Consider the following 21,573-nt stretch of genomic DNA (forward strand, 5'->3'; position numbering starts at 1 on the left):
AGGGAGGTTGGCATGGAGGGATGGTATCAAGGTGTGTCTGGTACATTCAGATCCTAACTAATTCGAGGCTTTAGGGTCAGTAGTGTTGCGTTCGGCACGATTCTATCTTAGGAGCTGGGAAAGGGAGTGGATAACCAGGTGACTCTTTTTCTTTCTTTTAAAAAATGTGCTGTTAAGTTTTGTATCAGCTAAAACTTTTTGTGGTACAGAAACCTTTTGGTATGCTAGTGCAGCCAGCCTTTGTTAGGGCATGAGCTTATTAACTATTTGTTTCTGGGAAATGTCATAAGAATTGATGACGATTTGGAAAGAAGGAACAAATTCAAGTTCTCTACAGAAATTAATTGCTGTTAAAAATGTGTCACATGCTGGGCATGATGGCTCACACCTGTGACCTCAGCACTTTGGGAGTCCGAGGTGGGAGGATTGCTTGAGCCCAGGAGTTCAAGACTAGCCTGGGCAACATGGCGAAACCCCATCTTTATAAAAAATACAAAAACTAGCCAGGCGTGGTGGCTCATGCCTGTAATTCTAGCTACTTGGGAGGCTGAGGTGGGAGGATAGCTTGAGTCTGGGGAGGTTGAGGCTGCAGTGAGCCGTGATTATGCCGCTGTCCTGCAGCCTGGCCGACAGAGTAAGACCCTCTCTCAAAATCAAAAACAAAAACCATAGTGCCACATAATTGTTTTCAACTTCAGTTTCAATCCTTGTGTTTTCTACAGTAAAATTGTAGGTGCAAAAAGAAGTATGTGTTGTTTTAACCTGTGACGTTTCAGAACTCACAGAGCAAGGCAGCAGCGTTTGCTTTTGCTTTCTCTGCCCGGATAATGGGAACTCTGAAATCGAAAGCAATTAAATGTGATGTTGGCAAACAGTTATAAACTTGTGTCTTCTTGGAGAGTAGGCTATGTAGTCTTTCTGGCAGCAGTAGCAAGGAAATAATGAGGTGAAAGCGCCCAGGAAAGAAGGCCCCATGAACACTGCAAAGACAGTTTGCTTGTTGTAAATGGAGGTTTCTCCTGGCGGGAAGGCTGTGACCCTGCTGAGCTGTGGAGAAACAGCTTGATAACCAGGGCTTTCCTGGGGCACCCTTTCTGGTGCACTTCGGAAGACCCCGGACTGATGATAGGGCTCTCTTGATTTCACCTAAAGCAAGACTGTAACCTCTGGGCAGCCTGATGCCAGGCTTGGAGGCAAACCCTCAGAAAACAGCTCCCCTCAGTGAGGGAATGGGAGCCTGTTTGAATTAACGTGGAGAATTCTCCAAGAACCCGCAGACTGGGAGGCATTCTCACGGCGAGTCAGTGCAGCTCCTCTTATGTTTACCGCAATTAAGGTGAGCATGAGAGCAGCCTGCCTCTCTTCTGTTCTCCCAGCCATGGAAGCAGGCTCCATTAAAAATGTGTTTTTCAGCCGGATGCAGTGGCTCACACCTGTAATCCCAGCACTTGCAGAGGCTGCGGCGGGTGGATCACTTGAGGTCAGGTAGTTCAAGACCAGCCTGGCCAGCATGGTGAAACCTTGTCTGTACTGAAAATACAAAAAATTGGCTGGGCGTGATGGTGCACGCCTGTAATCCCAGCTACTTGGAAGGGTGAGGCAAAAGAATCTCTTGAACCTGGGAGACGGATGCTGCAATGAGCTGAGATCACACCACTGCACTGCAGCCTGGGCGACCGAGGGCAACCCCGCCTCAAAAAAAAAAACAAAAAAACAAAACTTGCTTCTTACTGGTGGAGTAGAAATCAGTGGCCCACAGAGGCTTAGGTGGCAATGGGAGTGAGAAGACCTCTATTTACATGTTCATGATAGGCCTAGGTGATGGATCCTGACTAGGATGGTTAGTGTGGAAAGAAGCAGTTGAGCACCATGTTTTGGCAAAATTCAAAGGCTGGGAGGTTCCCAAAGGCAAGGAGGAGGAGGCTGGTACCACAGGTCCAGGGCAGCAAGTTGAGTGGAAAGTCTGGGAAAGGTTTGTGTGGGAAGCACGGGAGACTCTTACCCCATAGCTACGAAAGTCGGTTTCTTCCCAGCCTTGTGTTCCCTGCTTCATGACCAACAAGCGCTTAAGTACGAAACTCAGAGGAGGGCAGACAGAAATGATGATAGCTGGAGAGAGAATTAAGCCCTTTGGGGAGAGGTTATATTCAACAAGTGGGAGGAGAGGTTCCCCTCAACTTTTGAGGGAGTGGGGGATCATTGGAAAGGCCTGGAATCTAGTGGGAATTTGGTGTTTTGACATGAATGCTCTCTGACTTTGTTTTTGCCCTTTGGCTGTGTACCTAGTGTGTGTCAGTTCCTGGAGCTGTGTCAGAGCCCAGAAGGTGGCTTTGGAGGAGGACCCGGTCAGTATCCACACCTTGCACCCACATATGCAGCAGTCAATGCATTGTGCATCATTGGCACCGAGGAGGCCTATGACATCATTAACAGGTACAGTGAAAGCCAGCAGTGACAGAAACCTAGAGGAGTTCCCCGCCTGCTGACACGCACTGACTGTTGCCTCTCCTACCTCTTTCCCTGTTTCTCAGAGAGAAGCTTCTTCAGTATTTGTACTCCCTGAAGCAACCTGACGGCTCCTTTCTCATGCATGTCGGAGGTGAGGTGGATGTGAGGTGAGTGGGGTTTTGCACAGGCTGCCACATCAGTTGACTCTAGAGCTCATCTGCCATTAGAGATGCCAAGCCTAAGGAACATCATGGGGAAGCTGCTGCTTTGTCCCAGAATGACACATGGGATGACATGTCAGTGACACGTCAGAATCATTCAGATGTGATGCAGATGTCCTCAGGTGTCATGATCACTTGACTTATTTTATGTAAATGTGAAAATATAAGAAACAAATGCTTTTGTTTTAGAAATTAAAAATACATTTGTTTGGTACAAAATGATATACCACAATATAAATAACTGTATGGTGTAATGTATTCCTTCACCTCTCTGAGATAGGAAGGGAGGGGAAAGTCCAGCAGGGCCTCAGTAAATACCTTCTGAGTGAATTTGATGAAATCATGAGAATGTCTAATCCCTGAGGTCCTCCTGAGGCACATGAGAGTTTTTCTGGGAGGTGCAGAGAGCCTTGTGGGCCGGGAGAGTGCAGTGCAATAAAATCGCATTAACTGATTGGTGCCAGTTAGCTCGAAATTATTATTTTCTTCCATAAGTGTCTGATGTACCAAGCAAGTTGCTTCCTCACCTGGCAGATTACTTATGAGGCATACAGGGAATTCATTGAATAAGCCATTTCTCTAAGACAGTGGCTTATTGAGATTTTATGCCATTTTCTTATTATTTAGTTGAGAAATACATTTTGTGAGGTTTCTATAGCAAAGCTGTCTTACTGCCTATGTGTAAATGGGTTTGCTTCTACACAAGTTGATTAATAGTCTGGCTTAAGCATCTGGTTTAACCATTGGTTTGAAAGTATAGGGGAGGAAAAAACCACGAACATTGTGGAGCATAAAATACATTACAGATAATAGGTAATCAGGCTGCAAAGGCCTTTAGTTCAAGATGTTCTTCTATCTCTAACTTGTCTAATCCAACCAAAAAAATTAGATTAGGATCTGTGTATACCAGTGAAACCAGTAGAACGACTGAGGTAAATCAGTATGTGTTGATTCTTCTTAAGGAAAATGTTAAAAGAGTTTTTTTCCCTCGTGTTCACTACATTTTCGTTCCTGTTCTGTTGCTATTCCCCCAAAATATGCACAGTCTTGAAACGCAGCTTTTAAAAACCTACTAAGATTATTAGGCAAAAGCAAACAAATCATAGCAAGATCCTTTTGGTATTTTATCATATACCTTTTGCAGCTGTGATTATTTGCTATCTTATTCATTCCAGCACTTTTTTTTTCCCTATGCTCTTTATTTATATGTTCTAGATAAATGCTAGGAAACTTCTCCAGTAAGGCAGCTTGGTTCCCCTGCCAAGCACTGTAGCCATATTCTTCCCTGACCTTTGCTCTTTGGGTGATGCTCTGCCATTCGTGCCCGTGCTTTCTATTTACATAAAGGATTAAAGATATGAATGATAGAGAAAAGCTAGCAGATTGCATCCATTTTCCTTGCTTTGCCTGGTTTCTAGTACCCCGATTCCATCATTTTTCACTTGGCATTTCTTTCATTGTCCTTTGCCTGGAAGCATCAGCCAGTCCTCAGGAGTGCTTGTTTGGGTGGATTTGACTTGGAGAAAAGCAGCAGTGATGGGAGAGTTTGACATCTGGAGACTAGCTCGCTGCCCTTCTGGGATAGACAGCAGTCTCTGGATGATCTTTCTGCTCTGTTACACTGCTGATAGTTTCAGAGATGAGCCTACTCAAGGGTCTGTAGTTCCAGTGTATTGTAAAAAATCAAATCACAGTGAACTCATAGCAAGCACTATTTTTTCTCAGTTCTTAAGAAAGGAGACCTCCTTTCTAGGTTATATAATCTAGATCATTCTGTGAGGATAAGGTGGAGGCAGGGATCTAGCATTTGCAGAAGTTTGGTGAGAAAGCATGTGTTGCTCAAGAAAGGACAAGTTCAGTGTTGAAGTGTAGATGGCCTGGTGGGCAGGGGAGCAGTGGAGCTGGAGGGACAGGCTGGGAACAGGCTACAGAGGCCCTGAAATCTCCTATGGAGTCTGGAGTTTAGTGATGTGATCTGATTTGTATTTTCTTAGAAGTTTCCCAATTGCAGTGATGGACTGTAGTGTTCCAATAAAAGCCCTCTGGTTTCAGGGCTGGAGGGAGAGAGAGCAGGAAGACTGATCCAGGTTGAAGAAGGCTTGGATTTGGGTGATGGCAGCAAGGATGGAAAGTTAGTGGACAAATTCAAATTTGAGAGCTGCGATGACTGGGTGGAGGGAAAGGGGGAGAAATACATGAAAAGGTTGTATTACGTTTCCTCCCCATCTCAGCGTGAGACCTGGGACTCCTGTCTTCTGTCATCACTTCTTAGTCCTCACACTTGTGAGAGGCAAACTGTATTATAGGTCGCCTCCTACCTCACAAGTCACAATAGGATTCAAGAGCAAATGCATCTGAGCCTCTTTAAGAGGCCTACAATTGCAAGGAAATTAGACAGATCTTCAAAATTAGCTGCTGGTAGATGATCACATTTGGCATTGGCACTTGTGACTCTTGTGTGCTCCCAATGCCTGCTGGTGGAACTAAACTTCCACTGTGCCTTTGGCTGCTAAAAATGCTGGTAGGATCATAATGCATGCAGCTTCTGCAGAGACTTCTTTGGAATACCTCAGTAAGTCTGACTTCATGTTATATCTATACTGAGTAAGATGGAAACCAGGGCCGAGCGGCAGTGGCTCATGTCTGTAATCTCAACACTTTGAGAGACTGAGATGAGAGAATCACTTGAGGCCAGGAGTTCAAGACCAACCTGGGTAACACAGCAAGACCCTGTCTCTACAAAAAATTTTTAAAAAATTAGCCAGGTGTGGTGGCATGCATCTGTAGCCTCAGCTGCTTAGGAGGCTGAGGCAAGATCAGTTTGAGCCCAGGAGTTTGAGGTTGCAGTGAGCCATGATAGCGCCACTGCACTGCAGCCTGGGCAACAAAGTGAGATCCTATCTTAAAAAAAAAAAAGAAGATGGAAACTAGGCCCTTCTTTTATGTTTCTTAGGAGCCCTTAGGAATATACTTTTTGTTTGTTTTGTTTTGAGATGGAGTTTCTTTCTGTTGCCCAGGCAGGAGCGCAGTGGTGGGATCTTGGCTCACTGCAACCTCTGTCTCTGGGGTTCAAACGATTCTCCTGCCTCGGTCTCCCAAGTAGCTGGGATTACAGGCGTGTGCCACCATGCCCAGCTAATTTTTGTATTTTTAGTAGAGACGAGGTCTCACCATGTTGGCCAGGCTAGTCTCGAACTCCTGACCTCAAATAATCCACCTGCCTTAGCCTCCCAAAGTGCTGGGATTACAGGCATGAGCTACCATGCCTGGCCAGGAGAAGGATTTTTGAGCAGAATTCAAACCAATGATTTTTGTCTTCCCTGTGCCGGGTATTTGAAAAAACCATAGAGGGGAAGGAAAGGCAGTCTGTGTGTGTATACCATGACAGAGGGAGAAGCTGAAATAAAATGTGCCCCGAGAAGAATTAGGGCTGGGAGGATGGAACAGCAAGAATGATCCTAAATCAAGTATAATAATTTTTTGTGTTTGTTTTTTTTTTTGAGACAGAGTCTCACTCTGTTGCCCAAGCTGGAATGCAGTGGCATGATCTTGGCTCACTGCAACCCCCGCCTCCCGGGTTCAAGTGGTTCTCCTGCCTCAGCCTCCCAAGTAGTTGGGACTACGGGCACACGCCACCATGCCCAGCTAATTTTTGTGTTTTTAGTGGAGACGGGGTTTCGCAATATTGGTCAGGTTGGTCTTGAACTCCTGGCCTCGTGATCCACCTGCCTCAGCCTCCCAAAGTGCTGGGATTACAGGCATGAGCAACTGTGCCCAGCCTAATAATGCTTTTTTAAAAAATAGCCCGGGCGCGGTGGCTTATGCCTGTAATCCCAGCACTTTGGGAGGCCAAGGCAGGTGGATTGCTTGAGGTCAGGAGTTTGAAACCAGCCTAGCCAACATGGCGAAACCCCATCTCCACTAAAAATAGAAAAATAAGCCAGGCATGGTGGCATGCGCCTGTAATCCCAGCTACTTGGGAGGCTGATACAGGAGAATTGCTTGAACCCAGGAGGCGGAGGTTGCAGTGAGCTGAGATCATACCACTGCACTCTAGCCTGGGCGACAGAGTGAGACCCTGTCTCAATAAAAACCAAAACAAAAGCAAAACAAAAAATATAGACGTGCGCCTTTTTCATTTAACGTGTGTGTGTGTGTGTGTGTGTGTGTGTGTGTGTGTGTGTACTGGTGAGAGGTTTGAAATCAAGGCTCTTTTCTCCCTCTAGAGGTTTAAGGACTGTATTGGAGTGGACTCACCTGTTCCTATCCTTGTTTGATCTATTACAATTTGGTGGCCTGTTTTGCAGTTTATCTGTTGCAGAAAAAGTATAGTTAATCTTTAATGTGTCAAGGCTGTAAACAGAAATCCTGGCTCTGAAACAGTACTAACATCCAAATGAATGAGCATATCAGAAGTACCTGAATGATACCATAGATTTATGGCAACCATTATAGGTCTTTGAAAGAAGAGCTGAATCCACTTTTGACATGAATTGATATGGCTGTTATTTCCTCTGATGTAGATTGGACCATGTGGAGGTAGGGAGAATAGAATGTCATGTTCTTTCACTGAAGCCATGCCGTGAGCAACTCTATCCAAATAGAATGTCACACCTCTCAGTTGGAGACCCAGGAGGACTGACCGTGTGCCAAGAGTGAGGACAGGAGGTGATTACAGCTTACTAGGCAAGGCGAGCAGTCCGCCCGCGGAGTTCACTGAGCCTCATTAGCTCTTCCGTAGAGCTTAATGTGTTTCCCGTTTCTGTCTTTCCAGAAGCGCATACTGTGCTGCCTCCGTAGCCTCGCTGACCAACATCATCACTCCAGACCTCTTTGAGGGCACTGCTGAATGGATAGCAAGGTGAGAGAAGCCAGGGTTTCTCCTGGCCTCTTGGAGAGCAGGCGGTCACGACACTACTTCAGAAAAATAAAGAAAATGCAGAGGGACTTGGAAGGAAATACAAAAATCACAGGAGATCCATTAGGGTTATCTAATGATTTTTTTAAATACTTAAAATGTCTTCTTTTTTCCAAACTTTCTTTAATGTTATATTATATTTTAGATTGGCAAAGATAAAAAACTTTGGTAAACAATATTAGTGAGAGCCTGAATTGATTTAACCAGTTTTTAGAGCAATTTGACAGTATGTCAAAGGTGCCCTTGCGTAGGACCCAGTAATTCCACTCCCACAGAAACCCTTGCACACACGAATGGGAGAGAGGAGCACAGGACTTGTTTATAAGAGCCAAAAGCTGAAAGCAGATTCAGTGCTCATAAGCACGAGATGGGTAAGTGTGGTATAGTTGCATCGGAATATAATGTAGCAGTGAAAATGAATGAACTAGAGTTACATGTATCAATATGGAAAAATCTCTATGTTGAGTTGAAAGAATGAAAAGAAAAAAATACAAAAAAACCATACAGATTAGCACATTTACTTAAAATTTGAAACATGCAAGAGAATTCTGTATTGTTTCTGAGAAGAATCATGTGGTAATAATATAAAAACATGTATACGAAAGATAAACACCAAATTTAGCATAGTGATTCCCGCTGAGGGGAGAGCAAAGGAAATGAGATAAGTCTGCATAGGAGACTTCAGCTGTAATAGTTAACAACAACAAAGACCTGAAGTGTATATGGCTAATTCTAAGCTAGGTCTTAGATACGTGTATGTTCTATATTTTGTTTGCTGTACTTTCCTGGATGCTCCAAATATTTCATAGTTTAAAAAAAGCAGGCCAGGTGCGGTGGCTCACGCCTGTAATTCCAGCACTTTGGGAGGCCAGGGCAAGCGGATCATGAGGTCAGGAAATCGAGACCATCCTGGCTAACATGGTGACACCCCGTCTCTACTAAAAATACAAAAAATTAGCTGGGCATGGTGGCGGGCGCCTGTAGTCCCAGCTACTCGGGAAGCTGAGGCAGGAGAATGGAGTGAACCCAGGAGGCGGAGCTTGCAGTGAGCCGAGATCACGCCACTGCACTCCAGCCTGGGCGACAGGGCGAGACTCCATCTCAAAAAAAGAAGCAAAAGGTATAGTAGACACATATATACTATGATGGAATGATAGCCAAGCTGAGATACTGTTTTAGTTAAAAAAATTTTATTTTTATCAAAGTAGTATGTATTACCATATAAATATAATTTACAGTGATACCAGATGATATGCTGAGATCATGTTTACTTTTTTGTATGAGTTTCATTTTCCTGGAGTTAATGGATATATCATGAATGTACTTATGAATTCCTTCCCAAATTGTCTGTCAGAGCTATAAAAAATTACTCTAAACATAGTCAAACCCTTCAGGTAACCTGTCTCTGTGCACACGTGCGTTTTGAGTTGCCCCTTCTGGAGCCCTCTGCCCTCCTGCTTCAGTCTGGACAGATTGCTCTCAGCTTGCTACACAGCAGGCATCCCGAAGCTTCCTTTCAGCATGAAATTCACTTCATTTCTCTCCTTCGTTGAAGTCCCTGTCCTCCTTTTTCTTGGTTTTCTTATTTTCATGAAGTATTGTACTCCAACAGATCCCAAAAAAGGGTACCTGGGAGATACATTTTTAATATCTTGCATGTATCTGTGTTCTAATCTCACACTTAATTATTTGGTTAGAGATTTCTAACTTGGCAATGGTATAAACTGTAGTCTTTCTGAATTTTGTAAGCATTGCTTCATTATCTTCTGGCTTCCAATGTCATTGTTAATAAGGCTGATAATAGTAACCAGAGTTCATTGAGGACTGTCATGCTCAATGGTAAGGCAGCTATAGTTGAGAGCTGGAGAGTAGGCACTGCCTGTGTTTGGTTCTCTTTTATATTTTGTGTTTCTCAGCTGAGATTTTCCATCTTTTTATTCTTTATGAGTGCATTTTTCTTCATTTTGCTGTGGTAAGTATGGAATTATAATGTCTGCTTTAAATTGCTTGTCTGGGAATTTCCACATCTGTGTGTCCTGGAGTTGGCATGTCAGCTCCATGAGTCTTCCTGTGCTGAGTGATGTTGTGTTGTGTCCTAGACATTGTGATATGATGGTGGAGGTGTCATACAACAGAACGGTATGGATTCTGTTGGTTTGCCCCAAAAGGGGTTGATGTTTTCAGTTTAGCAGGCAGTCAACTTGGTCAGACTCAAGCTACAAACTGTCACTCATGCAGCAGCTCAGAGCTCAGTTCTTGCTTAGAAGTTGCTTTGTTTCCCCAGCACGTATGTGGAAACTTGAACTGAGTTTAAATGCAGAATTTGGGATTTTTCTTCTTTGACTTTCCTGTTTCTGGATTCGTCCTCAGTTTCTGGCAGCCTGCATCTTCCTGCCAGAAGGATGGTTGGCTTCCCATTAGAGTGTTGGCTGCCCGCCCTGACCCCTGACCCCTGGCCTGCTGCTGCCGCCCTGGGCTATGGCTGCCATCCTGAGGGCAAACCAGAGAGAAAAAGTTGTGGGGGAAGGGAGGGACTAACTGCATGCTGTTCTCTGTTCCAAGTTTCAAACTCCACCAAAATCTGCCTGCCCTTTTTCAGTCAGCTGAACCCTCAGGAAGCTGTTTTTTTGTATTTTGTTCAGTGTACAGCTGTCATTTGCAGGGGGGTTGACTGGTTAGGCACAGACTAGATACGGAACTCAGACAGCCTGGGTTTGAATCCCAGTTTTGCCCTTTCTTTCCTCTTCTCTTCCTTCTTTCTTCCTCTGTCTTTCAATTCTCTCTTTCTTTTTTTGAGACCGAGTCTTGCTCTGTTGCACGAGCTGGAGTGTAGTGGTGTGATCACAGCTCGCTGCAGCCACCACCTCCTGGGCTCAAGCAATCCTCCCATCTCAACCTCCTAAGTAGCTGGGACAACAAGCGCGTGCCACCATAACCAGCTAATGTTTAAAAAAAAAATTTGTAGAGATGGGATCTGTCTGTGTTGTCCAGGTGGGGCTTGAACTCCTGGGCTCAGGCTATCCACCCACCTTGACCTACCAAAGTTCAAGGATTACAGGCATGAGCCACTGCGCCCAGCTTTTTTTTTTTTTCTTTGAAGACACGGTCTTGCTTGTTGCCCTGGCTGGATTGCAGTGATATGATCACGGCTCACTGCAGCCTTGACCTCCTGGGCTCAAGCAGTCTTCCCACCTCAGCCTCCTGAGTAGCAGAGACCACAGGTGTGCACCACAACACCTAGCTAATTTTTAAAATGTCTTGTAAAGACAGAGTCTCACTGTGTTGCCCAGGCTGGTCTTGAACTCCTGGTTTCAAGCAATCTTCCTGCCTCAGCCCCACAAAGTGTTGGAATTACAGGTGTGAGCCACGATGGCCAGCCTGCCATTTCTAATTAGCTTTGTGCTTGGACAAGTTATTCCACTGCTCTGTGTCATAGTTTCCTTATATGTCAAGTGGTGGGATACTGAATTTAATTAATTTAATTTAATTTATTTATTTTTTGAAAGAGGGTCTCACTTCGTCACCCAGGCTGGAGTGCAGTGGCGTGATCTTGGCTCACTGCAGCCTTGACCTCCTGGGTTCAAGTGATCCTCCTGCTTCAGCTTTCCAAGTAGCCAGGACTGCAGGTGTATGCCACCACACCTGGCTAATTTTTGTGTTTTTAGTAGAGACGGGGTTTTCCCATGTTGCCCAGGCTGGTCTTAAACCCCTGAGCTTAAGCAATCCGCCTGCCTCAGCCTCCCAAAGTGCTGGGATTATAGGCGTGAGCCACCACACCCAGCCTTTAAATTTTATATTAAGCAGAAATACAGAGAAATCAAATGGATTCCACTGTGCTGTACTACCTGGCAGTGCCATTGTGATTCTTAATTCTCTGTATGTTTTTTTCTTCTGTCTCTCTTTTTCTATCCCCATCCTGTCCTTCTTTAGCGGCTTGGAATCTTTATTCTTTTTGTGTGTGATGGAGTCTTGCTCTGTCACCCAGGTTGGAGTGCAGTGGCGTAATCTCAGCTCACTGCAACCTCAGGTGCCTGCCACCATGCCTGACTAATTTTTGTATTTTTAGTAGAGACAGGGTCTCGTCATACTGGCCAGGCTGGTCTCAAACTCCTGACCTCAAGTGATCTGCCCTCCTGAGCCTCCCAAAGTACTGGGATTACAGACATGAGCCACCTCGCCTGGCCTGGAATGTTTATTCTTGTTTGGAAACTTGATGATGAATCTTGATGTGGATTATTTTTATTCATTTTGCTGGGCACTCGATTTGGAAGTGCATATACTTTAGTACCAAGATTCTTTATTACAGTATTTCTTTGATAATTTCTTCTCTTGTGTTTTCTGTGTTTGCTCTTTTTTTTTTTTCCTTTGAGACGGAGTCTTGCTGTTGTTACCCGGGCTGGAGTGCAATGGCGTGATCTCGGCTCACTGCAACCTCTGCCTCTCAGGTTCCAGCAATTCTCCTGCCTCAGCCTCCTGAGTAGCTGGGACTACAGAAGCCCACGACCACGCCCAGCTAATTTTTGTATTTTTAGTAGAGATGGGGTTTTACCATGTTGGCCAGGCTGGTCTCGAACTCCTGACCTCAAGTGATCGCCTGCCTCGGCCTCCCAAAGTGCTGAGATTATAGGCGTGAGCCACCACGCCGGGCCCTTTTTTTTTTTTTTTTTTTTTTTTTTTTTTTTTTTTTTTTTTTGAGACGTCTCTTTTTGTTTTATGTGTCTCCCAGATTGGAGTGCAGTGACACGATCATGGTTCACTGTTGCCTCGACTTTCCAGGCTCAAGTGATCATCCTCAGCCTCCTGAGTAGCTGTGACTACAGGCATCCACCATCCGCTAATTTTTTAAATTTTTGTAGAGACAAAGCCTCACCACATTGCCCAGGTTGGTCTCAAACTCCTGGGCTGACGTAATCCTCCTGCTGCGGCTTCCCCAAGTGCTGGGATTACAGGTGTGAGCCACCATGCCCAGCCTCTTATTTATTTATTTATTATTTATTTATTTATTTATTTATTTATTTATTTATTTATTTATTTATTTATTTATTGAGATGGTGCCTTGCTCTGTTGCCCAGGCTGGAGTGCGGTGGTGCAGACCAGCTCACTGCAACCTCTTTCTCCCAGGTTCAAGCGATTCTCCTGCCTCAGCCTCCCAAGTAGCTGGGATTATAGGCGTGCGCCACGACACCCAGCTAATTTTTACGGGGTTTCGCCATGTTGATCAGGTTAGTCTCAAACTCCTGACCTCAAATGATCCTCCTGCCTTGGTCTCCCAAAGTGCTGGGATTACAGGCATGAGCCCCCGCACCTGGCCAGCCTTTTAAAAATATGACATCCCATTAGTACATTTGATTGTCTGACTTTTAAGAATACTTTGAGGCTGGGCGTGGTGGCTCACGCCTGTAATCCTAACACTTTGGGAGGCTGAGGCGGGCGGATCACGAGGTCAGGAGTTCGAGACCAGCTTGGCCAACATAGTGAAACCCAGCCTCTACAAAATATACAAAACATTAGCCGGGTGTGGTGGTGGGTACCTGTAATCCCAGCTACTCGGGAGGCTGAGGCAGGAGAATTGCTTGAACCCAGGAGGCAGAGGTTGCAGTGAGCCGAGATCGCACCATTGCACTCCAGCCCAGGTGACAGTGTGAGACTCCATCTCAAAATAAATAAATAAATAAAAATAATACTGCCGGGTGCAGTGGCTCATACCTGTAATCCCAGCACTTTGGGAGGCCAAGGCAGGCAGATCACGAGGTCAGGAGTTCGAAACCAGCCTGACCAACATGGTGAAACCCTGTCTTTACTAAAAATACAAAAATTAGCCGGGCGTGGTGGCATGCACCTGTAATCCCACGTACTCAGGAGGCTGAGGCAGGAGAATCACTTGAACCCAGGAGGCGGAGGTTGCAGTGAGCCAAGATTGTGCCACTGTACTCCAGCCTCGGCATCAGAGCGAGACTCTGTCTCAAAAATAAATAAATAAAAATAAAAATATTTCATTGCATGGTTCGTTTCCATCTCTTAATCCTTCTTCTTATACTTTGAGAGATTCTCTTAGTATTTATCTTCTAATCCTCTTGTTTTTATTTTTGTAATCCTATTTTTAGTTTTCCTCCCTGACTACTTTTACTTCCTGACTACTTTTTTATCTACTCTCTTGTTCTTTTCTGGGGATATTTTGTCCTCTCAATAGTCTTACTTCATATAATATTTTATCTAAAGATACAACTTTAAAAAGTTTTCTTTTGCTCCCTGTCTTATTTCCTCCAATTTATTTTTGTTTGTTTTGGTCTCCTCTTTCATAGTAGAGACTGTGGTCAAATGTCTGGTACTCTACAGCTGTCTGTTCATATTTAAGGATCCAGCACTGAAAAGCTGCTGGGGAGCTCTGCGAGAGTGGGCAGGATCAAGCCATTCATTGGGGAATTCTCAAAGCAGTGTCTGTAGGGTTTTTCCCTTGGGCTTATCAGTTCCCTCAGAGAGGAATCTTCTAAATTCCTGCTTGGGGTATGAAACTGGCAGCCTTGTGTGAAATACACAGAGGAATGGGGCTGGGGGTATTGTGTTGAGATTACTGACTCTCACGTAATCACATTTGGTACAGTGCTCCCTCCTCCTCTTAGCTTGTTGGATATTCTGGAACTCAGATCCTTTTGATTAAACCTCTGAAACTTCCCATCTTCTGCTGGATTTGAGTAGGGGACTTAAAGGTCTGATTCTTATATAAGTTTGCAACCAACAAACTTGGTTCAGACGCATTCCACTTTGTGGAGGTTCCCTGTATCTCTAATCCTGGAGCCTTTTATTGGAGCAGATCACCTTGCTTTTTGTTGCCCCTCTCCCATCCCTATCCTTTGGGTAGGAAAGGTTTCTCTATTCTACTAAGTCAGTTATTTCTTGTCCTTCTTGTGTTAGTCCATTTTGTGTCAGTATAAAGGAATACCTGAGGCTGGGTAACTTAGAAAGAAAAGAGGTTTATTTGGCTCATGGTTCTGCAGGCTGTTTAAGAAGCCATCACCACCTGGCCTAATTATAATTTTTAAAAATAACGTTTATTTTTTAATAGTATACAGGTTCATTATAAAAACTTTTTGAACAAATAGAAAAACAAAAAGGAAAAATATTACTAGTAGACCTGTACTCAAAGATCACCAGAGGCCAAGTGCGGTGGCCCATGCCTGTCATCCCAACGCTTTGGGATGCTGGGGTGGGAGGATTCCTTGAGGCCAGAAATTTAAGACCAGCCTGGGTAACATGGCAATGCCCCATCTCTACAAAAAATACAAAAAATGGTCCGGGTATGGTGGGGCACGCCCATAGTCCCAGCTACTCAGGAGGCTGAGGTGGGAGGATTGCCTGAGTCCAGGAGGTTGAGGCTGCAGTGAGCCATGATCTGCAGTCAACCTAGGTAACAGAGTTAAGACCCTGTTTCAAAAATAAAAGATCACTAGAATCAACAATCACTCTTTAATTTTATTTTAACTTGATGGTTATCACTATATATATATGTATATATATGTATATATATGTGTGTATATATATATATGTATATATATGTGTATATATGTACATATATGTATATGTATGATTTTATAACTTTTTCCCAAAGAGTAATAATTTGAATTATTATGTTTCTTACACAAGTAGGCTGTTTCTAAGTGTCTGGGTTTTTAACATTTTACAGTTTTTATTATACTTACATTTTTTGGAGACCTAGTCTCACTCTTTCACCCGGGCTGGAGCACAATGGTGTGATCATAGCTCACTGCAGCCTCGAACTCCTCGCCTCAAGTGATCTTCTTGCCTTAGTCTCCTGAGCAGCTGGGATTACACATGGGTGCCACCAGGCCCAGCTTTTTTTTTTTTTTTTTTTTGAAAAGACATTTCCAAAAGTTAATTAGTTGGCATCTTTTCATTCATAGTTGTGATGGTTCACACCTTAATCTGAGTGAACTTTTTCTCTGCCACCTAGGATGGTCCTGGTCTTGTGTACGTCCACTCACTGGCCACTCATTCTGCTTTTCTCAATCTCTTCTTAGGTGTCAGAACTGGGAAGGTGGCATTGGCGGGGTACCAGGGATGGAAGCCCATGGTGGCTATACCTTCTGTGGCCTGGCCGCGCTGGTAATCCTCAAGAGGGAACGTTCCTTGAACTTGAAGAGCTTATTAGTAAGTATCTTTTGAGCCATCCCCCTCTCAGGCCCCAGGTCATGGTGATGTGATTGTACTCAGACATGCAGGCTTCAGGAGAGTTTGGCTATGGGAAGGGCTAAGAGAGTTAGCTCTGTTCCAACACAGAGGAAGGAGTGAGCAGCTGCTCTGTCTTGGCTCCCCCTTCTGCCTTTCTGTCTTCCTGCTTAGAGCTTTTTACATAGTGTGTAGACTACATAGACTGTGTGCTGCAGACATCTGGTGTGAGCAGAGTACCTTCCTTATACTTCAGTTTCGTAGAATTAGAGGTTATCGTGTGTTATAGAAAGAACCTCCTAAGAGGAAAAGTTACAAGAAGAGCTTTGCAGCATTTCGAAACCAAACTTTTATTACCTGCTGCACTGTGTAAACATTTAGTACCTACATTTAAATGAGTTGTTTAGGCAGAGCTGGCTAATTGCATTGAGAAGGCAGCCCAACATTTATGTCTGGACCCCACGCTCCTGGCCAGTATTCAGAAGAAACTCAGAAAGCAGTCAGCTTCAGGGAGTCACTAGATTGTAGTTAAATGATCAGTGGGTGCACAAACACACACACCTCCACGGCCACCAGGGAGAAGGCATTCCCCGTCATGTCATTTGGGGAGCATGTACCCCCTGACCATGACGTCAAAGCAAACCAGCTGCAACTGACATGCACCTCCTCTCCCTGAGTTCAGATGCCAGCCTCCCGTTATGCGGCCCATCGTGAGCTTCCTGGAGAGTTTCTGTTGTACCCTGTAGACATGTAACCAGCAGTGTCTTGCCTCCACCTTCAGAAAGCCTCCCCCGGTGTAGTCTTTTTAAAGATTCATGAAGGCTTGAAGGCTCATGCTGAAACAGCCAACTTTGTATGCTGAACTTAAGAGTTTCTCAGATGTTTTAAAATCTGAACACCAATAAGGCATGAAACAAAAAAGTCCCATCTCCCAGGCAGAGATAAGGAATGTGATTAGGGAGTGCCTCAGTTATAAAGACAGTGTTCTAGATTTGAACCCTGTCCCTACTACATTTGAGACATGAGTCCTTGGGCAAATTGTCTAATCTCTTTTAGCTTGATATTTTTTTCTTTTATAAGGTAGGGATAACAATCCTTATTTTTTTAAGGTTAAAGGAGAGAACATTTATAAACAGCCTGGCACATAGTAGGTACTTAATAAATGTTAGTGTCCCTCTAACCCACAGTAATAATCTTTTTGGCACAAGGGACCAGTTTTGTGGGAGATAATTTTTCCGTGGACCTGGGGTTGGGGGTGGGACGGGGGGTGATGGCTTCAGGATGATTCAAGTACATTACATTTATTGTGTACTTTATTTCTATTATTACACTGTAATATATAATGAAATAATTATACAACTCACCATAATGTAGAATCAGTGAGAGCCCTGAGCTTGTTTTCTTTCAACTAGACAGTCCCATTTGGGGGTGATGGGAGACAGTGACAGATCATCAGGCATTAGACTCTCATGTAGAGCGTGCAACCTAGAAGCCTGGCATACACGGTTCACAGTAGGGTTTGCGCTCCTATGAGAATCTAATGCTGCTGCTGATCTGTCAGGAAGTGGAGCTCAGGCAGTAATGGGAGCAGTGAGGAGCAGCTGTAAATACAGATTAAGCTTCACTGGCTCACCCACCACTCATGTCCTGCTGTGCAGCCTGGCATGGTCTGGGGGTTAGGGACCCCTGCTCTAATCCAGACTACTCCCTTCCATTTGCTTTGGGAGAAGTAGGACCCATATCTGAAGTATGAATTCCTATAGCCCAAGGAAACAGAACAAATCCATGGGCTTAGGCACTGGAAAAAGTAAATTAGTCTGCTTAAAAACACTTAAGCCCTGCGGTAAGTAGAAATGAGGAACCGACTCCCACTGCAGCGCCTGCTTTCTCTCTGCCTGAGTAATGCTTAGCCCACTTCCATTACATGCTGGAAGCCCTGGTTCATTTAAGATCAACCGAGGATATATTAGTACCTGAACCTGCAGTACAGTGTTTTCTGTCTCTTTTAAGCATTTGTGACTGTGACTCTCTATGGGCAGGTGTTGCCTTGAAGAGGGAATAATCTAAACAACAGCTTTTAGGGGAGGGCTGGCCCCCACTTCCATCAAGGGTCCCAGTGGCTCCTTTCAGGACCTTTACCTAGTAAGACTCTAGAAACAGGAAGTACCCTCCCCTGTACCCTTTCAGTTGAGTGAGGCAGCTCTGTAAGTCCGTGGCTGGAACGGCCTAGGTGGTCTAGGGAGGGAAATGGAAATGTCATATCTGCTCAGCCAGTTGGTTCTGCTCATTCTGAGGGACCAAACCCATGACTATCTTGATCTTTGTAGTAGAGTGTGTTTAGAAAACTTGTAGATAAGCAAGGAATGGTGGTATCGTGTGTGACCGCTGAGTGACATCAAGACCAAGACCTATTTTACAGCTTCAAAGTAAAAGATTTTCTTATATCAGCCACAGACTGGGCAGAGTTGTCATTTGGTAATTAGAATGAATGGCTTCTGCTTTCAGGCCTGCTAGTGACTTGCTAAGAGACCTTGGGTAAATTTCCCCAGGTGCCAAGTAAAAGTCAGGAGCAGTTTGAGATCATCTGATGAAATGTAGTACCAGGCCGGGCACGGTGGCTCACGCCTGTAATCCCAGCACTTTGGGAGGCCGAGGCGGGTGGATCATGAGGTCAGGAGATCGAGACCATCCTGGCTAACAAGGTGAAACCCCGTCTCTACTAAAAATACAAAAAATTAGCCGGGCGCGGTGGCGGGCGCCTGTGGTCCCAGCTACTCGGGAGGCTGAGGCAGGAGAATGGCGTGAACCCGGGAAGCGGAGCTTGCAGTGAGCCGAGATTGCGCCACTGCAGTCCGCAGTCCGGCCTGGGCGACAGAGCGAGACTCCGTCTCAAAAAAAAAAAAAAAAAAAAAAAAAAAAAAAAGAAATGTAGTACCAAATTCCATTTATCTGCTTTTAATAAACTCCCCGGAGCAGGGAAGTAATGAGAAATGAGCTACTGGTAGTCTTGCCTTCAATTTCCAACTTAAGCCATGTTTATTAAGAGACTTTGAAGGTCTCCTTACAAACCAGCTTGGCCTCTTTATCTTCTCAGCACTGGCACTGCTTTGGAACCCAGGAAAAGGTAGTTGTCTGCCAGGCATTGAGCAGAGATCAGTGCTGGATGCCTCTACAGCGTTGGCTTAAATGCTTCACTCTGTGTCTATGGCAGTGTGGGGAGGGAAGGAAAGAAAACCAGAGCACCAAAACTAGAGTGCCAAGAAGCCACAAGATGGGAAACCCTCCATCCCACAGATTGACTCCTGGAGATTCTGTCGGGCTGGATTTTGTCTCTTTTAGCCTACAACTGCCTTTCCCATCTGTGTCTCCTCAGCAATGGGTGACAAGCCGGCAGATGCGATTTGAAGGAGGATTTCAGGGCCGCTGCAACAAGCTGGTGGATGGCTGCTACTCCTTCTGGCAGGCGGGGCTCCTGCCCCTGCTCCACCGCGCACTGCACGCCCAAGGTGAGCCTGGGGAGCTGTTCACTTGGGGCTGGATGATTTCCCTCCACTACTCACAAAGTCTGGAAGCCCAGCGTGCTTTTTTAGAGGGGTTGAAATGAGCTCTGTCTATCCTGGATTTTGAGTGCCCAGTGTGGAACCTCATGCCGTGGGGCATGCGAATGCAGAGTAAGATTTAGTTTCATTGGTTTAGTGTCATTCTTTGCTTCTTCAAATTGGCTGCGACAGAATGAGCTTCCTTGAAATTGCTACGGGGAGCGGGGAGGAAGTGGGCGCTGCTTCTGCGTTATCTGGAAGGAGCAGCCCACTCCTGTCCTGGGCTCTGTGGTGATTGCCACCTCCTCTGGGTGCAGGGCAGAGCTGAAAACCCTCAGTGTTGCAACAGTCACTGTTGCAACAGCAACAGGAAAGGCAACTGCGTAAAGGGGTAGAGAACCAGAACCCATGTGTAGGGGTGGGTTGTAGGGGTGGGTTGCCCCTACACCATGGAGAAGAGACTCGCCGTGTCTGACTGGCTGCAGAGTTGTCACTATTAGAAATGTTTTATTTTACATTCATTGAATAAGCCTAAATGGGAGTTTGTTCCACCTGCACCATTGGAGTAGAGAAATCCACGTTCGTTTCTGTGGGGTCTCAAATGGGAACGCAAAACCGAAGTAGTTAGTGAGCAAAAAGTCTGGGAACATTCTCTCTCTATCTCTTGAAACCTCAGTCTGCCTGCTAACTCCTGCACCATCTTTCTGGTGTACTTGATGTGAGAGCAGGTGTCTCTGAGTAGACCTGTGGGAGAGAGGAAGTCATGGGGCCCTGCTGGTTGCTGATCTGTTTTTGGAATGAGATCCCTGGGTCCAAAGAGAAGCTGTTCTTCGGACTTAGTTGGATAATGTAACTGCTCAAATGTAAAAGATGAGATTCTTTTCTGCCCCTCCCCATACTTTTTTTTCCTGTTTCTGAGCCCCCCACCCCCCGTCTTCCCCCCTCCCCGCCGCCCCCGAGATGGAGTCGTGCTCTGTCTCCCAGGCTGGAGTGCAGTGGCACGATCTTGGCTCACTGCAGCCTCCACCTCCCAGGTTCAAGCAATTCTCCTGCCTCAGCCTCCTGAGTAGCTGGGACTACAGGCGCGTGCCACCACACCTGGCTAATTTTTGTATTTTTAGTAGAGACAGGGTTTCACCATGTTGGACAGGCTGTTCTTGAACTCCTTACCTCAGGTGATCCGCCCACTTCGGCCTCCCAAAGTGCTGGGATTATAGGCGTGAGCCACCGCACCCGGCCCTGAGCCTCATTATTTAGTTTCTTAATTTCCTTTGAGTTGTTGAGTTGTGACCATTTCTGACACTGAATTAAAGTAAGCAGAGCCTCTGTCCCATTTTCCCGGCCTGGGCCCACTGGGCTTTAGGTGTCAGTATTAAGGCATATAAGGCACTTACCCTTGGAACACAGCAAGTGCACTGTCAGCAAGTGCACTGACTTTGGAGCCTGCACAGTCTCTGCCTTGACCACCAGTAGGGAAGTCAGGAATTCCCCAAGTCAAACATTTTTTATTTTAGTATTATTTTTTTTTGAGACGGAGTTTCACTCTTGTTGCCCAGGCCGGAGTGCAATGGATCACTGCAACCTCTGCCCCCTGGGTTCAAGTAATTCTCCTGCCTTAGCCTCCTAAATAGCTGGGATTATAGGCATGCACCACCACGCCCAGCCAATTTTGTATTTTTAGTAGAGACAGGGTTTCTCCATGTTGGTCAGGCTGGTCTCGAACTCCTGACCTCAGGTGATCTGTCCGCCTTGGCCTCCCAAAGTGCTGGGATTACAGGCGTGAGCCACCGTGCCTGGCCCAACATTTCTAAGATAGAAAAAAACTTGGGGTCATGGTGATCTCTTTATTTGGAACTGGTGAGGTCAAGCCCCTGGTAAAATGGTCAGTCTTTTACAAACCTGTCCCTGGCATGGATAAGACTCAGTAATTCTGCAATCCCAGGGAAATGTGGAATGAGCTATAACAGGAGCACCACCTGTCAAAGTCTTCCAGGGGGGCTGCTGGTTAATTGTTTCTTGTAGCACATGTTCTAGGGGGCTTAGTGGCATTCAAAGCTTTGTCTATGGAAAAGGGTGCCTATGAATCTTGGTGCTTCCAGCTTTTTTCATTGGCTGGGAGAAGGCCTGTGTTGTCTTCTCAGACACAGGGCATCTCTTGAACTTGGAACAGACAGGAGTCTGTAAAGAAGGGAAGTGTGTTGAAAGGAGGGCAAAATACTGACTTTGGGAGTCAAAAGGGGATGCAGTGTAGAAAGATAGTCAC

At 45.3% G+C, this 21,573-nt stretch overlaps 3 protein-coding genes and 1 non-coding gene across 6 annotated transcripts in view; 3 read left to right on the forward strand and 1 right to left on the reverse strand.

Annotated features, from left to right (window-relative positions):
• The window catches only part of CHURC1-FNTB (CHURC1-FNTB readthrough), a 148,295-nt gene that overhangs the window by 110,806 nt on the left and 15,916 nt on the right, over positions 1-21,573 (forward strand). For both annotated transcript variants that reach the window (NM_001202559.1, NM_001202558.2), the window contains 5 exons: positions 2,287-2,433; positions 2,532-2,615; positions 7,444-7,530; positions 15,624-15,753; positions 19,145-19,277. In NM_001202559.1, the coding sequence (NP_001189488.1) occupies positions 2,287-2,433; positions 2,532-2,615; positions 7,444-7,530; positions 15,624-15,753; positions 19,145-19,277 (581 nt within the window). The remainder of the gene's footprint in view (positions 1-2,286; positions 2,434-2,531; positions 2,616-7,443; positions 7,531-15,623; positions 15,754-19,144; positions 19,278-21,573) is intronic.
• The window catches only part of FNTB (farnesyltransferase, CAAX box, subunit beta), a 75,756-nt gene that overhangs the window by 38,272 nt on the left and 15,911 nt on the right, over positions 1-21,573 (forward strand). Inside the window, exons 5-9 of the mRNA NM_002028.4 lie at positions 2,287-2,433; positions 2,532-2,615; positions 7,444-7,530; positions 15,624-15,753; positions 19,145-19,277. Coding sequence (NP_002019.1) covers positions 2,287-2,433; positions 2,532-2,615; positions 7,444-7,530; positions 15,624-15,753; positions 19,145-19,277 — 581 coding nt within the window. The remainder of the gene's footprint in view (positions 1-2,286; positions 2,434-2,531; positions 2,616-7,443; positions 7,531-15,623; positions 15,754-19,144; positions 19,278-21,573) is intronic.
• MAX (MYC associated factor X) overlaps positions 1-21,573 on the reverse strand; it is a 96,595-nt gene that overhangs the window by 19,066 nt on the left and 55,956 nt on the right. The window lies entirely within an intron of this gene.
• Positions 19,522-19,603, forward strand: MIR4706 (microRNA 4706). The gene has a single exon (NR_039855.1). It is a non-coding gene; the product is annotated as a microRNA 4706 (primary transcript).

This window comes from Homo sapiens, chromosome 14 (assembly GCF_000001405.40).
Source record: "Homo sapiens chromosome 14, GRCh38.p14 Primary Assembly".
Lineage (NCBI taxonomy): Eukaryota > Metazoa > Chordata > Mammalia > Primates > Hominidae > Homo > Homo sapiens.